Below are 12311 nucleotides of genomic sequence, written 5' to 3'. Positions count from 1 at the left end.
ACTCAACAAGTATTTACTGAGCATATACAATGTGCCATATACTGAGCCAAGCACTAAGGACAGTGTTTAAAAAATAGAGCTAGTCCTTGCTCTTATGAAGCCTACAACCTGATGGGACAAATATAAACAAGTCCACATCCTACTGCTGCTTCTCACATGTGACAAGAAGCTGGGCTTTTCACTTGAAAGTTACCTACATGAACAATATAACTTTGTTTGCCCCATCTTCGGTTTACTTCATGTACTCCTATGCTTACATGTCTTTGCATACTGAAGTATTTAATCCACTTCTGATGGATATAAGAGGATAGAAGGAATTAAAATAATAAATACTGGCAAGCTTGCTGTAAAATGCCAGATGTGCAAACGGTTATGGAAATCACCAAACAGTAAAACACGGAGTCAATCTGTAGCACTGAAGAGATGCCATAGCTGCATTGGCAAAGATATACTTTCTAAAGTGAATAATAAGTACTAGATTGATGGCCCAGAGGGTAGGTACTATAGGAACTTAGAAAAGGAAGCATTACTTCCTGAAGGTGTGGGCTTTGTACAGTGCCTCAAAGGATGGGTTGCATATGAATGGGTAGAGGAGATAGATTGTGTCATAGGGGAGGCTGAGTTAGTGACAGCCAAGGAGAGAAACCCAACGCAAACTGACTTGTGCAGAAAGAGTGGTCCTAGGGCTTCAGGCATGGCTAGAGCCATGGGGTCCTAAAATTTCAGTTGATTCCTCTTTCTCCCTTCATCACCTGGCTCTGCTTTCCTCTACACTGGTTTCAGTCTCAGCCTGACTGCACACAGGTAGCCCCTTGCATCTTCTGGCTTACATCCTACTCCCTAACTACCCCAACACAAAAGATAAGCTCTCTTTCTCAACAGTTCTAAAAACACTCCTGTGATCCCCTGATTGGACCAATTTATATCACTTTCCTATCCCTGAGGCAATCACTGTAGCTGGGAGGACAGAATTCATTGATTGGCCAGGTCTGGGCTATGTGCCCACCCGTAGAACAGAGGCAGGTGAGGTCAGCTCCATCTAAGCCATGTCAGAACAAGATCAGCTCCCCAGAGAAAAAAACTGTAATGAGGTCACCAGAAAAATAACAACTACAACAATCATCATCATTGCAAACACTCTAAAATAAAGAACTCACTATGTACCAGGTACTATTCTAAATAACTTTTACATATTACTTATTTGCTCTTAATACCTCTGTGAGGTAGATAATCGTATTATCCCCATTTTCAACTGAGACATGGACCAGTAAATGGCAGACCAGAGAGTTAATCCAGGCCATCCCACTGCCAAGTCCATGGTCTTATCCACTGTGTTTACACTAAAATTGACTTCTCTACACTCGGAAAAGAACTAGCTAACTAGTTCAAACTAACTAGCACTCAGACTCAGAAATGAGCAAAGTATATTTGGAGAACAATGAGAAGGCCAGCAATTCAGAAAGATGGAAATTTTAGTCTCTTCTGATGGCCAGGAAAACCATATCCAGAAAGCTGGTAGACAGCTAGTGCTTATCTTCACCAGGTGGTGAAGTTTTGATCAGACCCAGGAAACCACCAGCTGAACTTCCAGGGAGAACAAAACAGTCACCGCAGAAACCTGAATCATTCCCCAAAGGCCACCCCAGTCCAATCCTCTTGACAGCTTATGGTTTGCACTTTTACACAATTTACCAGGAACTGATTTTATAGCGATGCCTGATCCTCTTTTTCTCTCCTGCTTTGAAACATCATTCATGGAACATATATAAATCTTAGTTAAAACTAACAATGCATTTAAAAACACACACACAATCAAACGATTGCCGGTTTGGCATTGAGAAGCAGCAGACCCAGGCTTGAGCCTGTTTACTGTGCATTTCCTGATACAGAGAAAAGCAAGTACAGTTGAGAAAACACCACAAAGCATTATATAGCAACAGCTCGTGTGCTTCAGAAGAGAAATGGATACATTAGGAAAAGTTTTTTTCCCTTTGATGTAGAATATGCTATCTTTTTAAATGGGAGTTAACTTAACATAAATAAAATTCAGCCCGTAGGCTTCAGAAAACTAATGTTGTATTTGACAGTGTCATTTCTGTGATCCTGAAAGCATTTGGGGAGTTAACTTGGGCCTTCATCATGACTTTCCTTCATGGCATGGAAAGCACATTATTTTTTTAAACTCTGTTTTATTGATTTCCCCTTACTTTCTCCCACATGTTCCCTTTGCCAGCGGTTATCTCTGCCCCTTCTGCTCTCCCACATGCTGTGAGGGCAGGTGGGGTTTCTCCTGTGTCTTTGCCTGCAGGTGGTCCAAGCGCCGCTGCCCTCTTGCTCCATCCTTGTTTGAAAACCTCTTCCTGTATGGTCTTTGAAAAGAAGATAAGCCAAAGGCCCTGGACCTACCTTCAAGAAGAGATCAGAAAAAGCCTTCTGTTCCTACGCTGAACCATTTGCAGAATGTGCAATTTGCAGTTAGCATTTTTTTTTTTTAGAGACGGGTCTTGCTATGTTGCCCAGGCTGGTCTCGAACTCCTGAGCTCAAGCAATCTGCCCTCCTCAGCCTCCCAAAGGGCTAGGATTACAGGTGTGGGCCACCACGCCCAGCTTGCAGTTAATACATTTTTAGTTGAACTTGGAGATGTTCCCCCTCCTTTCAGGACACAGAGTGTATGAGCCTGGTAGATGGACAAAACTGTTTTGTTTGCTTTTGTGCTTTTTATTTCCATAAAAGAGCCCTGAATAGTCAAATACCAGGTGATTTGACACCCCCACCACCCAACCGCCATCCAAGATTTGGAAGTCTTTTTTCTTTAAACAAAATTAATAGGCCGGGTGTGGTGGCTCACACCTGTAATCCCAGCACTTTGGGAGGCCGAAGTGGGTGGACCACCTGAAGTCAGGAGTTCGAGACCAGCTTGGCCAACATGGCAAAACCCCATCTCTACTAAAAATACAAAAAATTAGCCGCTTGTGGTGGTGGACGCCTGTAATACCAGCTACTCGGGAGCGTGAGGCAGGAGAATCACTTGAACCCAGGAGGCAGAGGTTGCAGTGAGCTGAGGTCGCGTCATTGCACTCCAGCATGCGCAACAAGAGCAAAACTCCATCTCAAAAAAAAATAATTTTATGTAAATGCATATGTAGAAACTTGAAATACAGTGTGCTTTGCAACGTGGGACGAAACATTGGTAACAAGTATTTTTTACCATAAGTGTCCATTTTGACCATTTTTAGTGTTTTAGGAATTGCTTTTGAAACTGATTATATTTGAAACATATAAGACTACAATTGGAGAATCCTTGATATTAAAAAGTTGCCATGATTAAAAAGTCTTTCAGAATTTCTTGGTTAGTAAGATTTGGAAGCTTATAGCTTCTAGAGTTTGTTTTTAGAACAAGAGGTATGTTTGTGTGAAAGTGAGATGGGAACTCATGAAATGAATGCAAAATTGTGTGCACATATGCATATGGTTGTGTTCTGGAGAAAGCCTTGGTAGCTTTTAATCAATTCTCAAGAGGGTTCATGACACAAAGAATTCCCAATTTGCCTGTCTCGCTTTCCTTCCCACACCCACCCTCCCTTATCAGTAGTAACTAGCTTGCTCTCTCTTGCCAGCTGCCTATTTATCCCTTCCCAGATGAATTGTCCTTCTTGTTTTCTGACCAAGCAAAGCTGAGCAAGGAGAACTCAGGAGCTGGTGCCCAGGTGGGGGCGTCAGGTAGATGGCAAGACTGCTGGGAGCGCCGCAGTGAGTGCCCTCTGGGTGAGCTGTTAGGAAGGCAGACAGCTTCCCCTGCCCAACACTGACCAGGAAACGTGGGCAGTCCAAGATGCCACTCTGCAGTCAAACTTCTATTACATTGAGGATAAGTTGAAAGAGAGTGTCAAGGGGAAAATGGAATTGGGTAGTGGCTTTCCACCGTTACCTGTTTTTGTCCAGTTATATTTTCTTTTTTTTTTTTTTTTAGTATTTATTGATCATTCTTGGGTGTTTCTCAGAGAGGGGGATGTGGCAGGGTCATAGAATAATAGTGGAGAGAAGGTCAGTAGATAAACACGTGAACAAAGGTCTCTGGCTTTCCTAGGCAGAGGTCCCTGCGGCCTTCAGCAGTGTTTGTGTCCCTGGGTACTTGAGATTAGGGAGTGGTGATGACTCTTAACCAGCATGCTGCCTTCAAGCATCTGTTTAACAAAGCACATCTTGCCAGGATTTTAACGTTCTGCTGGACTGAGCTGGTTGCCTCATGTTATTATGCAGGCAACTCACTTTATCCCAATTTCTTGATACTTTTCCTTCTGGAGGTCCTATTTCTCTAACATCTTCCAGAAAAGTCTTAAAGCTGCCTTAACCTTTTTTCCAGTCCACCTCTTAAATTTTTTCCTCCTCTTCCTCTATACTAACATGAGTGTGGATCCAGCTTGTCCCCAAAGCTTGCCTTGCTTTGAAGAATCCGACTGTAAAGAATCTTCACCTATGCCTGTGATTTGTGGGCCTGAAGAAAACTATCCATCCTTGCAAATGTCTTCTGCTGAGATGCCTCACACAGAGACTGTCTCTCCTCTTCCTTCCTCCATGGATCTGCTTATTCAGGACAGCCCTGATTCTTCCACCAGTCCCAAAGGCAAACAACCCACTTCTGCAGAGAATAGTGTCGCAAAAAAGGAAGACAAGGTCCCGGTCAAGAAACAGAAGACCAGAACTGTGTTCTCTTCCACCCAGCTGTGTGTACTCAATGATAGATTTCAGAGACAGAAATACCTCAGCCTCCAGCAGATGCAAGAACTCTCCAACATCCTGAACCTCAGCTACAAACAGGTGAAGACCTGGTTCCAGAACCAGAGAATGAAATCTAAGAGGTGGCAGAAAAACAACTGGCCGAAGAATAGCAATGGTGTGACGCAGAAGGCCTCAGCACCTACCTACCCCAGCCTCTACTCTTCCTACCACCAGGGATGCCTGGTGAACCCGACTGGGAACCTTCCAATGTGGAGCAACCAGACCTGGAACAATTCAACCTGGAGCAACCAGACCCAGAACATCCAGTCCTGGAGCAACCACTCCTGGAACACTCAGACCTGGTGCACCCAATCCTGGAACAATCAGGCCTGGAACAGTCCCTTCTATAACTGTGGAGAGGAATCTCTGCAGTCCTGCATGCACTTCCAGCCAAATTCTCCTGCCAGTGACTTGGAGGCTGCCTTGGAAGCTGCTGGGGAAGGCCTTAATGTAATACAGCAGACCACTAGGTATTTTAGTACTCCACAAACCATGGATTTATTCCTAAACTACTCCATGAACATGCAACCTGAAGACGTGTGAAGATGAGTGAAACTGATATTACTCAATTTCAGTCTGGACACTGGCTGAATCCTTCCTCTCCCCTCCTCCCATCCTTCATAGGATTTTTCTTGTTTGGAAACCACGTGTTCTGGTTTCCATGATGCCCATCCAGTCAATCTCATGGAGGGTGGAGTATGGTTGGAGCCTAATCAGCGAGGTTTCTTTTTTTTTTTTTTTTTCCTATTGGATCTTCCTGGAGAAAATACTTTTTTTTTTTTTTTTTTTTGAGACGGAGTCTTGCTCTGTCGCCCAGGCTGGAGTGCAGTGGCGCGGTCTTGGCTCACTGCAAGCTCCGTCTGCCGGGTTCACGCCATTCTCCTGCCTCAGCCTCCCGAGCAGCTGGGACTACAGGCGCCCGCCACCTCGCCCGGCTAATATTTTGTATTTTTAGTAGAGACGGGGTTTCACTGTGTTAGCCAGGATGGTCTCGATCTCCTGACCTTGTGATCCGCCCGCCTCGGCCTCCCTAACAGCTGGGATTTACAGGCGTGAGCCACCGCGCCCTGCCTAGAAAAGACATTTTAATAACCTTGGCTGCCGTCTCTGGCTATAGATAAGTAGATCTAATACGAGTTTGGATATCTTTAGGGTTTAGAATCTAACCTCAAGAATAAGAAATACAAGTACAAATTGGTGATGAAGATGTATTCGTATTGTTTGGGATTGGGAGGCTTTGCTTATTTTTTAAAAACTATTGAGGTAAAGGGTTAAGCTGTAACATACTTAATTGATTTCTTACCGTTTTTGGCTCTGTTTTGCTATATCCCCTAATTTGTTGGTTGTGCTAATCTTTGTAGAAAGAGGTCTCGTATTTGCTGCATCGTAATGACATGAGTACTACTTTAGTTGGTTTAAGTTCAAATGAATGAAACAACTATTTTTCCTTTAGTTGATTTTACCCTGATTTCACCGAGTGTTTCAATGAGTAAATATACAGCTTAAACATAAAAAAAAAAAAAAAAAAAAAAAAAACAAAGCACATCTTGCACCGGCCTTAATCCATTTAACCCTGAGTTGACACAGCACATGTTTCAGAGAGCATGGGGTTGGGGGTAAGGTTAAAGATTAACAGCATCCCAAGGCAGAAGAATTTTTCTTAGTACAGAACAAAATGGTGTCTCCTATGTCAACTTCTTTCTACACAGACACAGTAACAATCTGATCTTTCTTTTCCCATTTCCCCCTTTTCTTTCCGACAAAACTGCCATCGTCATCATGGCCCGTTCTTGATGGTCACTGTCTCTTCAGAGCTGTTGGGTACACTTCCCAGACAGGGCGGCCTGGCAGAGGCGCTCCTCACTTCCCAGACGGAGGGGCCGGGCACAGGTGCACCTCCCTTCCCAGATGGGGTAGCGTCTGGGCAGAGGCGCTCCTCACCTCCCACACGAGGTGGCGGCCGGGCAGAGGTGCTCCTCAAATCCCAGATGATGGGCAGCCGGGCAGAGGCGCCCCCCACCTCCCAGACGGGGCGGCCGGGCAGAGGCGACCCCCACTTCCCAGACGGGGTGGCCAGGCAGAGGCGCTCCTCCCCTCCCAGACGATGGGTGGCTGGGCAGAGGCGCTCCCCACCTCCCAGACGGGGCGGCCGGGCAGAGGCGCTCCTCACCTCCCAGACAGGGTGGCCAGGCAGAGACGCCCCTCACCTCCAAGATGGGGCAGCCAGGCAGAGGCGCCCACTTCCCAGACGGGGCGGCCGGGCAGAGGCACTCCCCACCTCCCAAACGAAGGACAGCCAGGCAGAGGCGCTCCTCACTTCCCAGGTGGGGTGGCTGGGCAGAGACGCCCCTCACCTCCCAGATGGGGTGGCCGGGCAGAGGCGCCCACTTCCCAGATGGGACAGCCGGACAGAGGCGCTCCCCACCTCCCAGACGAAGGGCGGCCGGGCAGAGGCGCTCCTCACCTCCCAGAAGGGGCGGCCTGGCAGAGGCGCAACTCACTTCCCAGACGGGGTGGCAGCCGGGCAGAGGCGCTCCTCACCTCCCAGATGGGGTGGCGGCCGGGCAGAGGTGCTCCTCACATCCAAGACGATGGGCGGCCGGGCAGAGGCGCTCCCCACCTCCCAGACAGGGTGGCTGGGCAGAGATGCCCCTCACCTCCAAGATGGGGCGGCCGGGCAGAGGCGCTCCCGTCCTCCCAGACGAAGGGCAGCCGAGCAGAGGCGCTCTTCACTTCCCAGGCGGGGCAGCCGGGCAGAGACACCCCTTACCTCCCAGATGGGGTGGCCGGGCAGAGGTGCCCACTTCCCAGACAGGGCGGCCAGGCAGAGGCACTCCCCACCTCCCAGACGAAGGGCAGCCGGGCAGAGGCGCTCCTCACCTCCCAGGTGGGGCAGCCGGGCAGAGGCGCTCCTCACTTCCCAGACGGGGTGGCGGCCGGACAGAGATGCCCCTCACATCCCAGATGGGGCGGCTGGGCAGAGGCGCTCCTCACATCCCAGATGGGGCAGCCAGGCAGAGGCACTCCTCACATCCCAGACGATGGGCGGCCGGGCAGAGACACTCCTCACTTCCCAGACGGGGTGGCAGCCGGGCAGAGGCACTCCTCACTTCCTAGACGGGGTGGCCGGGCAGAGGGGCTCCCCACATCCCAGACGATGGGCGGCCAGGCAGAGACGCTCCCCACTTCCCAGACGGGGTGCCAGCCGGGCAGAGGCTGTAATCTTAGCACTTTGGGAGGCCAAGGGAGGCAGCGAACAATTTCCTAATGAAGTACTGGAAAAGACAACCTTTTTCTCCATTACTATTTGGAATTGTAGATCACATACATCACCTGTTCCAACACCACGAGTCGAATAAATAATGAATCTTTTTATAAAGAGTATCCGTCTTGGAGGGATAGTCCCGTTGTAGAGATGTTTCACTTGTGCAAAATATCCAACATATCTATTCTGACAAGGAGTTTCTACTCCCTGAAATTTATTGCTGTGGGTTTTATCTGTTCGCCTTTCTCCAAAATAATACAGGCTTTCCTCTGCAGTTAAAAATATTTCGGAGGCAATAAGGAGCGCACAAACCATAGTTCCGGTTCTTCCTTTCCACTGGAGATCCACGCAACCCGGGCAGAGGAAGAGATTGTTTCTCCCAAGCCTTGGAGCTCATTCGAGGAGAGACTTGGAGACTTTGTGAGGGAAAGACACAGGGAAACGCTGCCGGCATTTTCCCAAACCTGGACTGGGAGCAGGACAACACTGGGGGATCTTCCCTATCTGGTTCAACCCATCTTGTGCCCCCAATCCCCCTACCCCTACATTTTCTATTTGATGTTTTGGGGGAATTTTTTTATTTTTGCCGCTTTCCTTAGTTTCTGTCTCCATTACAACATCCTAACACTCTAATTGGCTTTGTATGGGACAAACAGGAAGTATTGCTTCTGGCAGGATGGGATTTTCTGTCCTGTTGATTGATGGATTAATTTTTATTGAGCACGGTGTGCTACCAGCGGAACCAAAAATCCAAGATACAATTCCAGCTCTAGGAGTCTATGTTCTAATAAAAGTAAGAACAACATATTCAAACATCCCTGTTTCTTTTTCTCGTCAGTTTCCCTTCTACTGAGACAACTACACAGATAATTTAGGACCCCAAAACATGCTATTAAAAAAGGACCTGACTGGACCAGACAGCTGGGTGGGGGCAGTGGTTTCATCTGAAGAGCTTCAGTCATCATATTGGCTGAGTGGCTGCTCGGTGCTGGACTTTAAAAGAGTTAAACATTTTTCCAGATTTTTTTGGTTACATTCTTATGTCAAGTTAGATTAAACAAAGTTACAGTCTTGAACTATGCAGTAGTTTAAACCCATACAGAAATCTCTTCACTAAAATACAACACAATACTATATGGCTCAATTTCATGAAGGGCTAACGATTTTATATAGTCATATTAAGAATGTTTCATTGTCTCTTCATGTCTGTGATATAAGGATCCAGATCATTTTTTTCATAAATTAGCATCCCCCCAAAGAAGTCTCCTTTCCCTAACTATTCTCTCTTAATCAAGCACCGAAAGCCAGGAAACCCAGGTAATAGATATTTTCCTATTTCCTCAGAGCAAATTTTCGTGCTCAAATGAAAAAACTGTTTCATCTTTGGATCAGTTACAATATTTCTGAACCACTATTTCCTCATCTATAAGATAAAGAATATTGGAGATGATCATTTTGTTTCCTTCCAGCTCTGAACCACCCCAACAGACACAAACTTTCTTGTGTGATTTCTGATTTCATTTGCAACCTTACTCAATTCCAGTAGAAGCTGCATAGGAGCAGGGTCTATGTCCATCTTGTTCAGGTATAGGCCTAGCTCCTAGCACATGAAAGTAGGGCAGTTAATATAATTTGAATGAATAAATTATGTTCCAAGCGATGTGTGTTTTTGATGTGTATTTTTGCTGTAGCATGCCTCAAATCTTTCTATGGAAGAAAGCAGGGTCCATATTATAAATTCCTACCTCTTTTGGAATATATTCTTACACCATATTTGAAATTCTTTCATTTGCTCTGCCTGTGTGGCTATGGCTAAAATTCTGTCATCCCTTTCTCCTCCTTTTTCTCTTGGTGAACCCATTATCTTGCATACTGTTTCATAAAAGGCCCCAACACATAGAACACAAGACTTCCACTCAGGAAGCGGGAGCTTGGGCTGCTGAGGAAGAAGGAAGCAAGGTCCTGGCGTCCACTGAGGCCAGGTCGGGCAGAGTAGGTCTCTGCTGGCCACCAACCTACCAGCAGACAGTCGATCTAACAACACATGGAAGGAACAACACTCCTTGCTCTCTAGGCTAAAAATGTGAACCCGTTCCCCCAAATAAGGGGTCTAATTCTAAAGAACTGGGAAAAAGGAACCCACTACTGCTCCAAAGGCTACCTAGACCCGGGGTTGTTGGCCACTGAGAGTCTCCAGCTGAGGGAAGGGTCAAAATACTTCCAACATGGTTAAATGTGCTGATTTTATTCTTAGCTAAAAAAAATCACAGATTTAGGCCGGGCGCGGTGCCTCACGCCTCTAATCCCAACACTTTGGGAGGCCAAGGCGGGTGGATCACGAGGTCAAAAGATCGAGACCATCCTGGCCAATATGGTGAAACCTCGTCTCTACTAAAAACACAAAACTTAGTTGGGCTTGGTGGCGCGCACCTGTAGTCCCAGCTACTCGGGAGGCTGAGGCAGGAGAATCGCTTGAACCCGGGAGGCAGAGGTTGCAATGAGCTGAGATTTCGCCACTGCACTCCAGCCTGGCAACAGAGCGAGACTCCGGAAACAAAAACAAAAACAAAAAAACAGAGATTTTTCTCTAAACCTAAGGCTTATCCAGAACACTGAGATTATGTGTGTGATAGGTAAACAGTAGGGAGTTAAGGGGTGGAATTATGGGGAGGGTAGGGGAGGAGCGGGAAATCAAGATGAGAGAAGAGATTTACCTGTGGCACCGATTTTCTCCCTCTAAATGTCAGCCTGCAGCGTGGGCCTTGTGGTGCATTTGATAGGCAATACTGCTCTCTAGTGGCCAAGCAGGATGAGCGCAAGCTTCAATTAAATCCCCTTAAAATTTAGGGCCATTTTTGTTATTTTGGATTGCACCTCCAGTTTTAAGAGTGCCTTCTTTTAAATATTAAGAAGAAAACAAAATAGTCATTTTACCCAAGTGCATAACTTCTTATAAAAGCATGCATGTGACTCTTCTCTCCCCTTCCTCACTGATTTTTCCTTGATGTCCCCTTGTACACAGGCACACTCTTTTGGGCCTTCCTAATAAACCACCCGGCCATGGGTCTTGGAGTCACCTGGGGAAGCTTAGAACTTGCTTTACACCTCAGGCTGTGGCTACTTGAGGACCCAGTAGGAAAGGCACAAGATGAAAAGTTGCCCTCACTGTTCCCTCGATGGGAAGACCCTTCCCTCACTCCCTCAGGAGGCTGGTTCCTCCCCAGGTTGCTCAGCCCAGAGGCCACCTGGCTAGAGCAGTCCCACTCCACTGACACCCTCCCTGAGTATCCACATCCAGCACATTATCATTCTATCGGCTTCATGCAGCTCATCACGCCTCAAAATTATCTTTTTGCTTATTTACTCATTTAATGTCTCTCTCTCCCCACACCCCATCACAATACAAGCTTTGTAACAGCAGAGACCTTGTCTATTTTTTTCACTTATATGTCTCCAAACACTAGAAATTTGGCATGTTCTTGGCACACAGTAGGCTCTAAATAAATTTTTTGAATAAATGATAGAGAATATTTAACTTCTAAGCTTTCTCTTCCAATAGCAATCTTTTTGTCTAACACCTTACCATCTCCAGCGTTAGAAAGGTGGGACATGACACTATGGGAAGCATTCCACTAGGGAACTATAAGGCGTGAAATCTCTGCCCATGCATCAGTAGAGGCAGCAGACTGGCATTGTAAATTCCCAGTACTGGGTTTAATTTAATTTTTAAAAGTCTAATTAGGCCCTGGCCCAGTGGCTCACGCCTGTCATCCCAGCACTTTGGGAGGCTGAAGTGAGAGGATCACCTGAAGTCGGGAGTTTGAGACCAGACTGACCAACATGGAGAAACCCCGTCTCTACTAAAAATACAAAATTAGCTGGGCGTGGTGGTGCATGCCTGTAATCCTAACTACTTGGGAGGCTGAGGCAGGAGAATCACTTAAACCTGGGAGGTGGAGTTTGCGGTAAGCCGAGATCATGCCATTGCATCCCAGCCTGGGGAACAAGAATGAAACTCTGTCTCAAAAAAAAAAAAAAAAAAAATCTGATTATATATGTTTCTCCTTGTCTACTCAGAAAAAAATCCTAGTGTATGTAGGTACAATCTTCTAAAACAATAGGAATATACAGAAGAGAAATAGAAAGGCACAGGATGATAAAAAAATTATCACAGTGTTGTGCATAATAAAATGCCAATTGGTAGTTTCATTTAACTTAATTGATTTAATAAACGACATAAACTTATGAGTACATATCGTTGTACCA

At 46.4% G+C, this 12311-nt stretch overlaps 1 protein-coding gene and 1 long non-coding RNA gene across 2 annotated transcripts in view; both read left to right on the top strand.

Annotated features, from left to right (window-relative positions):
* Nucleotides 1-9705, top strand: part of LOC105370765 (uncharacterized) — a 36546-nt gene extending 26841 nt beyond the window's left edge. Inside the window, exon 2 of the long non-coding RNA XR_932103.4 lies at nucleotides 8321-9705. This is a non-coding gene — a long non-coding RNA (uncharacterized LOC105370765). The remainder of the gene's footprint in view (nucleotides 1-8320) is intronic.
* NANOGP8 (Nanog homeobox retrogene P8) lies at nucleotides 4221-6106 on the top strand. Its single transcript, NM_001355281.2, has one exon. The coding sequence runs from the start codon at nucleotides 4406-4408 to the stop codon at nucleotides 5321-5323; it is 918 nt and encodes a 305-aa protein (NP_001342210.1). The 5' UTR covers nucleotides 4221-4405; the 3' UTR covers nucleotides 5324-6106.
* Nucleotides 9706-12311: the final 2606 nt, after the last annotated feature.

This window comes from Homo sapiens, chromosome 15 (genome assembly GCF_000001405.40).
Source record: "Homo sapiens chromosome 15, GRCh38.p14 Primary Assembly".
NCBI classification, from domain to species: Eukaryota; Metazoa; Chordata; class Mammalia; order Primates; family Hominidae; genus Homo; species Homo sapiens.
Note: the sequence above shows the minus strand (reverse complement) of the source record. Positions and strands in the feature narration are given on the sequence as shown.